Source organism: Homo sapiens, chromosome 2, assembly GCF_000001405.40.
Source record: "Homo sapiens chromosome 2, GRCh38.p14 Primary Assembly".
Taxonomy (NCBI): Eukaryota; Metazoa; Chordata; class Mammalia; order Primates; family Hominidae; genus Homo; species Homo sapiens.
This window is the reverse complement of record NC_000002.12, coordinates 20,541,635-20,552,126: the sequence shown is the minus strand read 5'-3', so window position 1 is coordinate 20,552,126 and position 10,492 is coordinate 20,541,635. Positions and strand designations below refer to the sequence as shown.

At 48.4% G+C, this 10,492-nt stretch overlaps 2 annotated features.

Moving 5' to 3' along the window:
- Positions 8,408–9,392: an enhancer, noted in NCBI's record as "H3K4me1 hESC enhancer chr2:20742495-20743479 (GRCh37/hg19 assembly coordinates)". NCBI's record gives its function as "activates a minimal SCP1, AML or CMV promoter by ChIP-STARR-seq in naive H9 embryonic stem cells {active_cell/tissue: H9 hESC(naive)}" and the evidence as "EXISTENCE:reporter gene assay evidence [ECO:0000049][PMID:30033119]".
- Positions 9,393–10,378: an enhancer, noted in NCBI's record as "H3K4me1 hESC enhancer chr2:20741509-20742494 (GRCh37/hg19 assembly coordinates)". NCBI's record gives its function as "activates a minimal SCP1, AML or CMV promoter by ChIP-STARR-seq in naive H9 embryonic stem cells {active_cell/tissue: H9 hESC(naive)}" and the evidence as "EXISTENCE:reporter gene assay evidence [ECO:0000049][PMID:30033119]".

Sequence of the window (10,492 nt, the reverse complement as noted above, 5' to 3'; positions counted from 1 at the left end):
ACAGCCAAGACAGGAAGTGAGAAGAGAATTCTTGCTGTCAGAAGGTGCTGACAAAGCCACAGAGAAATTGCAAGGGCACCAGAAGGCTTTTCAGAGGAGGTCGAGGCACAGGTAAGGGGGAGTCGGCAGAAGGAGAGGGAGTGAGTGTTTTGAGAGGTCAGCAGCTGGAGTTCCAAACCTTGCAATGGATTGAGTTGGAAGCCCCTTAAGGCTGCAATTACAGCTACACAGTAACATCCCTCTGCATCAGGCCCATAGGCTAGACATCACACTGCCCCCATTCCCATATCCACACCACTGCTGAAATCCATAGATGGGTCCACTGTGGCAGGTCAGCCGTGGAAGCCTCCCGGGCAGACAATGGCCTTGTTGCCTCCTCCCTGGCTTCTCTCAGCCTCTGTTATTAACATTCAGGCAGCTCTTCACACCATTCGTCGAAGGCCACGGAGGAGCTGAGATCTGATCTAGCCTGGCTGAGCTGCATTAAAATCAATTAAAAATGAGAGACAAGCCTCTTCTTTCCAATGGAAAAATCCACAGGAGCAAGAGAAAGACACACACAGCCCCATCAATCATTCCAGGCTCTGCTTTCCTTGGGCTTTTCTTCTCCACTAAACAGCTGCAGGACGAGCCGGCTGAGCAGAAAGGTCTTCTTGCCATGGGGCTGTGGCCAGCGGCTCCCAGACTGGGCCTCAGCTGCCAACAGGATGTGCCTGCTATCCCGTTGCCAGCCTGACTGCCTGGCAGTCTGACCTCAGCTGGGATGAGCAGAGAGCAACCAAGGAGAAGTCCAGAAGCCTATCCCTTGAGCCATCTCATGAGGCCTGATGCCACCTCCCCTTTCTCTTCTGGGCCCAGAATTTAGGCCTCCAGGAAACCTTGTATTGCAGGCTTATCTTACCTGTCTCTGAAGATCTGACCCGAATTAGACTTCTCTTATTCCTCTTTGGAGAGTTTTTACTGCTGTGATGATTCCTGTGCAACTGTGTTTCCCGATTTTTTCCAAGGAAGAATGGGGTGTGTGTGTATGTTTTATGCACTGGGACCTGCACCCACACAGGGCCTAGCACTAAGTAAACATTCGTCAAATGAATGAGAAAAACAAGATCAACATGCATCTGCCATCCAACAGCTGTAACCAATCAAGCAGACAGCATTTGATGCCGGTTTAGGTATTTTCTTTTTTCTTTTTTTTTTTTTTGAGGCGGAGTCTCCCTCTGTCGCCCAGGCTGGAGTGCAGTGGTGCGATCTCAGCTCACTGCAAGCTCTGCCTCCCGGGTTCATGCCATTCTCCTACCTCAGCCTCCCAAGTAGCTGGGACTACAGGCGTCTGCCACCGTGCCTGGCTAATTTTTTTAATTTTTAGTAGAGACAGGGTTTCACCATGTTAGCCAGGATGGTCTCGATCTCCTGATCTTGTGATCTGCCCACCTCGGCCTCCCAGTTTAGGTACTTTCAGTTGCAACCTGAGGTTATCCATTTAACAGTTTATTTATTTAACTGGTGGCCACATCTTTGATTGTCCTCTTGACACACTGAGAAAGTGTTCATTCTTCTTTTAAAAAAAAATTAGAGATAAGGGTCTCCCTATGCTTACCAGGCTGGTCTTGAACTTCTGGCCTAAGGCAATCCTTCTGCCTCAGCCTCCCCAAATGCTGGGATTGCAGACCTGAGCCACCATGTTTGGCCAAAAGTGTTCATTCATATAGATGCACCCAGCCCCAGCACAGTGTCATGCCCAGGATGTCAGGCTTCCTGGAAGAAGTGGGCTTGACCTCAGCCTATAAAGGTGAGTGAATTTGGCTGGGCAAGACTACAGTGGAGAGCTTAAAATATTTAAATTGACAGTGAAAGGAGTCTAGACTTGCTCTGTGTGAGCCACTCCTGTTCATACTACAGATGGCCTACCCTCACCCAAATGACTATTTTATACCCTCCCCTGAGTGAAGATGACCCTAGAGAGTAGGCTTAATGGACAATGAGAAAGAGTATCTTGATCCAGAGCCACTGGGATTTTCTTGGGTGTTCCAACATGCAGGCACTGATTGGATTGGATTTGAAATACAATTCTTCCCAGTAATTTATGGAAGGATATTGACTCAAATGCATAATTGTTTCAAGTAATCAGAGCACTTTGCAATTCATTCATTTAGAAGCTTAACCTGTCATGTGAGTTGTTAAATCACAATTGCAAAGGCTGAGGCTTCAGTAATGCTCCCACTGGACCAAGTATGTCATGGACATAACCAAATACCATTGGTGGAAGGGTGTTCTCTGCTTCTCATGGTGCGGGTATGTGAAGAGGCAGCCAGTTGGAAAGAGATTGTCAGTTGAAAGAGTTCAAGCCTTGATTATTTACTATTGTGTAATTCAGAGAAAACTATTAATTAGCTGAAGTGCTTAGACCTCTAGGCAGTGCAGGCTGTTTTCAATGCACGGCTGGTGATAAAGAAGGGCCTTACTCACCAGCTCTGAAATCAGGGGTTCATAAAGCAACTCACTTTGTGACTTTGTTCATTGATTCATTCACAGCACTTGTTCATTTATTCATTCAACAATATTTATGGAGTGCTTTCTTTCAAGGCCTTTGGAAGGGGTGGATTTCTGAAATATTTAACAACTAGAATGGCCTGGGCAAGAAGCAATTAGAATAAGAAGCTGACTGATCAGAACAGACACTACCTATAAACAACCAACATACTCTGATTTGCACAGGTGTGATCTCAACCCTGGGGCTGATGGCGCAGAAGTGAGCATGAACGACAGCTCACGTTCTGGTGGCCTTGTGGGAAAGGTCAGTCGGGGCTTCCCAGAAGGGATGCTTCTACGACGAATCCTGCAGGAGCAGAGGGAGAAGAAAGGAAGCAGGCACCCCTGGGATTCGGGGTGGACATCACACATACAAAGTCCCATAAGCAAGAGAGCCTGCTGGGACTTCGGGAGCCTTCCAGTAGCTGGGCGAGGCTGGAAGGAGGTGATGAGGCTGGGAGGGACCAACCTACGAAGGACCTGGCATGACTTGATGACGATTTGAGACGTAATACCTCAAGATGATTTGGAGAGGCTGGAGGATTTCTAATCAGGAAATGATTATATCAAACTGTCTTTCCAGTGTTTTTGGAAACATCAGTGTCTGTGTTCTAATTAACAGGCGAGTGTAAGGGGTCAGAGACATGATAACCAGCAGCTCCCCCAGTCAGAGAACACAAGCCAGTGCTTAGAAAAGTGTTGCCCTGGGGTCTGCTTTGTGTGGACAGGAATATGGATCCTCCTAACATTTCCTTTACACAGGACACTGTTCAGCCTGCAAACAAGAAGCAATGCTTCTGTATGTGTTACAGTCCAAGCTAATGGTTTCATGAATGCTATGGACAGGGGCGTTAAGCCTGACTATCTGAGCCATCCGTGTCTAAGATACCTGTTTCTAACATAGCTGTACTACCCCATGAAATCTTGTTAATGACAGCTGCAGGTGAAAGAGAGGTCTGAAGAAGACCCCGTGGAGTTAAGGGGCCTCTTTCTTCTAGATCAGCAGTTCTCAAACTCTGTGGTCTCTGCACCCCTATTTTATTCTCTTAAAAATTATTAAGGGCCCCCAGGAACTTTAGTTTAAGTGGATTATATCTATTAATATTTGCCATATTAGAAATTAAAGCTGAAAAAAGTTTAATTATTCATTAATTCATTTAAAACAACAATAGTAAACCAATTATATGTTAACATGAGTAACATATTTTTATTTTTATTTTTATTTTCATTTTTTTGGGACTGTCTCTGTCACCTAGACTGGAGTGCAGTGGCGCAATCTCGGCTCACTGCAACCTCTGCCTCCCGGGTTTGAGTGATTCTTGTGCCTCAGCCTCCCAAGTAGCTGGGATTACAGGCGCCTGCCACCACACCTGGCTAATTTTTGTATTTTTAGTAGAGACAGGGTTTCAGGGTTTCTCTACTAAACCCATTTCTCTACTAAACCTGTTTCTCTACTAAACCTAAAACCAAACTAGTTTCAAACTCCTGACCTCAGGTGATCTGCCCGCCTCAGCCTCCCAAAGTACTGGGATTATAGGCATGAGCCACCATGCCTGGCAGAATAATGTATTTATATTTTTTAAAAAAACCTGTATTTTCCAAAACAAAAAGAATCAATGAGAAGTATAGCACTGTCTTCAGTTTTGCAAATCTCTTTAAACTCCGACTTAATAGAAGACAGCTAGATTCTCATTTCTGCTTCTGCCTCGAATCTGCTGCAATATTGCATACCACGTGGATTCCAGAACAATGTACTTTGTCATAGGAAAGAAGGAGAGTAAAAATACTAAATCATTAGTATCACAATGAAAATAGTTTTTACCTCATGGACTCCCTAACACCTCCCAAAACCTCCCTAAGGTTTTAGGGCTCCATGGGGGCTGTTGCTTTAGAGGCTTATTCTGACATATCTGCCCTTTGAAGGGAGCCAAACCAACCTGCTATTCCCTCATTGTTTCTGTGGGAGCATCTCACCCACTCCCTCAGACCATGTCTTGCTCAGGGCCGCCATAACAAACTACCCCAGACTGGGTGGCCTAGACAACACATTGATTTTTCAGAGCTCTGAAGGCTGGAAGTCCCATGATCTGAGTGCCCCCGATTCAGTTCTTAGTGACAGCCCTCTTCCTGGCTTGCAGGCAACCACCTTCTCACTGTGTCCTCACATGGAGCGAGAGGGAGAGCAAGCTCTTTGGTTTCTTCTAAGGGCACTAATCCCATCACGAAGGTCCTATCCTCATAGCCTCATCAAAACCTAACACCCCTCAAAGGCCCCATCTCCAAATACCTTCACATTAGGGGCTGGGGCTTCACCATATGAATTTGGGGAGACACAATTCAGTCTGGTGCAGCCTGTGAGTTCTGACAGGACAGAGCCATGCCCAAAGGCAGGAGGTGGACATGCCCATGGCCTCAGGACTGCTGGTACCACCTGGACAGAGTATCAGGCTCGCCCCAGCCCATGACCCCATGAAGTGCATTTCTCTAGAGTCTCTCAGACTGGTCCAACCCCCAGCCCATCCACAGTTGTGTGATCTAAAACTTATCCTGTGAACCTCTCTCTCCTTTACTTCCCATGGCCATTTAGGCAACAAGCACCATCAGTCTAACTTTATAAATAGTTCTCAGTCTCTCCACCTTCTCCATGTCCATGAATAACACCTGGTTCTGAACACCCCACCCCTCTACTGGGCTCCTGTGATGCCCCCATTTACCCTCACATCTCCAAACCATGCTCCACAGAAACTAAGGAAGCTTTGAAAGCCCAGATCCAAGTATGCCGTCCATCGTTAAGATGCTTTGGTGGCTCCCATTGCACTTAGGCTGAATAGCAATAGATTCCTTCTGCATTTCCAGCCCCGCCTGCATGCCATTCCCTCCCTGCACTTCAGCTCCTCCTTGCTTACCTCCTGTGCCTGGGTTGGCTCCTCCCAACCCAGGGCCTTGGCTCAAGCTGCTCCCCAACCTGAATACTCTTTCCCACCTTCTTCTACTTCCACCTCAGATCAGCCATTACTCTCTCGAGGAATCCTTTTGTAACCTCTCTGACTAGGTCAGCTCCTCCCAATAGAGCCATTTATAGCCATTTTCATAGTTGCAATTTTATAGCTATTGGTGTGAGTTTTAAAATCAATAACTAATTTTCCAACAGACTGATACTCACTGAAGACCTGTGCATTAGCTATGTATTGTTGTGTAACAAATTACACCCAAAACATGGCAGCTTAAAACAACAAATTATTATCTCACAGCTTCTATTGGACAGGAGTTTGAGGGCAGCTTTGCTGAGTGATTCTGGGTTAGGATCACTCATGAGGTTGCAGTCAAGATGTTGGCCAGGGCTAAAGTCATCTGAAAGCTTGACTGGGGCTGGAAGATCCACTTCCAAAATGGTCACATGGGCTTCTCCATAGGGCTGCTTGAGTACCCTCACAACATGGCCACTGGCTTCCCCCAGAAAACAAGAACTCACAATGTTTCTAATGACCTCACTTCAGGCATACTACTTCATCATTCCAGAATGTTCTCTTGATTACAAAGGTCAACCTAATTCGATGTGGAAAGGGGCTATATAAGTGCATGAATACAATGAGAAAGGGATCATCCATGGCCATCTTGAAGGCTGAAAATCCCATCTGTCCTTGTTCACTGCTGTATCTTCAGTGCTTCACTCAGGGCCCAGCACACTGTAGACATTCAAATAACAATTTTGATAAATGAAAAGGGTTTGATTAGATTATTCAATTCAAACAGTGAGGATGGGCACAGTGTGTTGCAGGAAGTCAGGGACCCCGAACGGAGGGACTGGCTGAAGCCATGGCAGAAGAACATGGATTGTGAAGATTTCATGGACATTTATTAGTTCCCCAAATTAATACTTTTATAATTTCTTATGCCTGTCTTTACTGCAATGTCTAAACATAAATTGCGAAGATTTCATGGACACTTATCACTTCCCCAATCAATACCCTTGTGATTTCCTATGGCTGTCTTTACTTTAATCTCTTAATCCTGTCATCTCGTAAGCTGAGGAGGATGTATGTCGCCTCAGGACCCTGTGATGATTGTGTTAACTGCCCAAATTGTAGAGCGTGTGTGTTTGAACAATATGAAATCTGGGCACCTTGAAAAAAGAACAGGATAACAGCAATGTTCAGGGAACAAGGGAGATAACCTTAAACTCTGACCGCCGGTGAGCTGGGCAGAACAGAGCCATATTTCTCTTCTTTCAAAAGCAAATGGGAGAAATATCGCTGAATTCTTTTTCTCAGCAAGGAACATACCTGAGAAAGAGAATGTGCCCCTGAGGATAGGCCTCTAAAATGGCCCCCTTGGGTGTGGCTGTCTTCTATGGTCGAAACTCTAGGGATGAAATAAGCCCCAGTCTCCCATAGCACTCCCAGGCTTATTAGGATGAGGAAATTCCTGCCTAATAAATTTTGGTCAGACCGGTTGCTCTCAAACCCTGTCTCCTGATAAGATGTTATCAATGACAATGCATGCAGAAACTTCATTAGCAATTTTAATTTTACCCCGGTCCTGTGGTCCTGTGATCTCGCCCTGCCTCCATTTACCTTGTGATATCTTATTACCTTGTGAAGCATGTGATCCCTGTGACCCACACCCTATTCATACACTCCCTCCCCTTTTGAAAATCCCTAATAAAAACTTGCTGGTTTTATGGCTCAGGGGGCATCACGGAACCTACCGACATGTGATGTCTCCCCCGGACACCCAGCTTTAAAATTTCTCTCTTTTGTACTCTGTCCCTTTATTTCTCAACCCAGCCAATGCTTAGGGAAAATAGAAAAGAACCTACGTGACTATCAGGGGCAGGTTCCCCGATAACAGTGAGCCTCCCCACCCCTTTTACCATTTCCAGCAAAGTCTCAGCAATAACTAAGTCCCATTTTTTGCCTTGCCTCTCATGGCCCCAAAGACTGAGTATCAGAGCCCTACTCAGAAGGTTAAGGGAACACCATCAGGCCACAGCCCTGGCTGCAGTCAGCTCTGGCCTCCGCATGCACCCTTGTCACTGAGTGTGCATTTCTTGAGGATGCTCCCCGGGCAGCCGTTCATGCCTCAGACATTTGGATCAGAGGAACACCAACTGAGGGAACTGGAAAGCAGTGGCTTCACCTTATTTGCTTGTTCCACGTCAGCTGCCCTCCAATGAGGGTGTGTTGAGCTGCACAGACAGCCCTGTCAGGGGCCTGTTTTTGGTGGCTCTGCAGGATTACAAGACTCCATCACTGAGGAGTGAGGGAAGCAGCTGACACTCCAGCTTGCACTCTGGATGTCTCTCTGTATGTGTCTGCCACTGAAAACTGGCTCTTCAATAATGCATGGGGCTATTAGCGCCAAGCTGAGGATGACTTGCTCCCTCCCAGCGATCAAAGCTGCCGCTGGGAGCCCAGTCGATGATCAGATTTCATGGGCTCCTTGTAACTGTTGCCCCTTCATATGAGATTAGAATGGACTATTTCATGGCCAAGGATGAAAGCAGCAAGGATTTGGGAGAAAATCCGGCTTCCCCGATAAATCAAAATGCTTCCATTTCATTACAAATGGGTGCATGACACAGCTAATAGCTCCTGTGAGAGGGAACGCTGCGGGACCAGCTGTCTCCACCAGCTTCTTTCGGAGGCTGGGTAAAATGTGTAAGATGCTGGACCAGGGAAGCCACTTGATTGCCTTATGTCCAGGGCACCTTCCAGACCATAGAGGCCTGCCACAAATCCCTGGGAAATTCGCCTTTATTCTGCAGCGTTAGCAAAGTTTGGAGCAATCCCCTCAGAGGCGATTGGGTGGTTGGAGCCAGGACTGCTGGGGAGGAGGCGGCTGCAGCCAGCAGCTGACATAACATTAATAGCTCCTCACCACTGTGCATGCTCATATGTCCAGTACTTTGCATATAGTAAGTACCTCTAATCCTTGCAGCAACTGCAATGTATTATTAGATCTTGCTACAGTGAAGAAACTGAAGATCAGAGAGCTGAAATGATCTTGTCAGGACCACCCAGCTAAGGAGTGCTGGAGCCCAGAGTGAAAGCCCAGGGCTGTGCTCATGCCCCTGTACCAGCTGCTCCCTCAAGTCCCTCCAGAAGCAAAGACAAATCTAGTAGCAAAAGGGAGTGTCCCTGGAGGAGCTGGCCATTTCAGTTACAGGAGAGGGGTGGGGTATGCAGTCGACTATGAGAATCCCCTGGTCTGACTTCAGAGGCTTCTCACAGTCAGGCCCAGAGGGCATCGCAGCCGCCTTTAGTGTCTTCTCCAGGGAGCTCTCTCCTTTCTCGGCTGAGATGCTGATTTCTTCTGGCTGCTGGCTCTGAGCCCCAGGGTGGATCATCTATCCTCTCTGTGCTTGCTTCCATCATCTGTGAATTGGAGGTAATGACGCCGCCTTCGTGGCAAGACAGCCCAGGAGCTGCTCGGGCCGCGTAGTACAATGGGATTCTCCTGGCTCATATATCCCAGCGAGAGCCTACCTCTGCCCACCTGCCCATGCCTTCCTTCCTCTGCAGTAGCTTCCCCGCTTCATCTATGCCCCCAGAGTCTGGGAAGCCTGGGTCCAAACTCCTCCTCCTTTTGAAAGATCTTCCCTATGTGGACTTCCCACCAGCCTATAGCCTGGATGGGTGGGATCTCCTCATCTCTAGTGTTGTGAGATGAGGTCACATATCACCAACTTGGCCAGGAGCCACGAGGAGCAGGGTGTGGTCTCTCCACTTCCACCTCCCATCTGTGCCCCCAGATCCCCTATATCTTCTTGGGCATCCAACCTGAGGCAGGCTGCAGCAAGGCTGATGGTAATTTTGTAGACCTGGCTTCAGAGTGTTGGGTGGTCTCTGAGTCAAAGAACAATTCCCCCATCCATCTCCCTGCCCCAGTGGACGGAAGAATGCCTCCTGCAGAACGAGCACAGGCCAAGGAGTCAGAGGCAGGCACCAGCGGCACCCTCAGAGAAGGGTCCTCCCTGCCCGCCTCCCCTGTCCAGGTTTGGACACATCTGTGTCCCTGACGTGTCCCTGATAGACCCAGAGGTACAGATGCCATAGGGAGGCTGACCCTCCCACCTGACCCTCCGACCAGATCAGAGCCCTTGAGGGTGGACTGTGTCTGGCTCATGCCCACGTGCCCAGGGCCAGCATCATATCTGCACGGGGAGATGCCCCACGTGTGGCGAGTGTTAGACCTAGTCAGGGGTGAGGAGAACCGGGACTGAGGCCTGGAGACATGGTGGGTGGGCTTCGCAGGCAAACTCGGAGACAAGAAAAGCTGGGTTGGCCACGCAGAAGGGGCTCAGTGATCGGGCTCTGACCAGGGCACTCATAAATACGTGTTTGCAAATCACCGACTTTCAATCCCCCCCACCTCAAATTCAGAGACAGCTTGATGTATGCTGTGCGGAGGAGCCATGGCCTAGGGACAGTGCCATCACTAACGCCCTGGGGAACTCCACACGCACGGCCTCTCCCTGGGACTCAGATTCCTCACTCACACCAGGAGCTGGAGTAGAGGTTCTCAGCAGCCCCCCATCAGCTCCCACAAAATGGCTGTTGTGAAATTCCCTGCACTGTGCCCAAACCCCTAACCACAGGCAGTGGAGACCCCAGGCCTCAGTGTGCTATCAGCCTGAGGAAAGGTGGCTTTATCCTGCCAGAATTCCCTCCCTCAGTTCTTCCCACCACTCCCAGCTCGTTGTCCACCTGCTGGGCAGTCCTATACCTGGGCCTGTCAGGACGAAGGCCTGCCCGGGCTAGCGGCTGTGCAGAGATCAGAAAGGAATTACTGCAAGAACCCATCTGTTTGTGCCTCTGCTTCAGAAGCTACTTGTGGGTTGAAGTAAAAGCTTTGGCTCTGTTGTCAGGGACAGTGAAGAGCATCTGTGTCCTTCGATGCTGCACATATAGGAGCTGGAACCCTAGGACTCTTCAGTGTCCCCTTTGGATGGGGCAGAAGG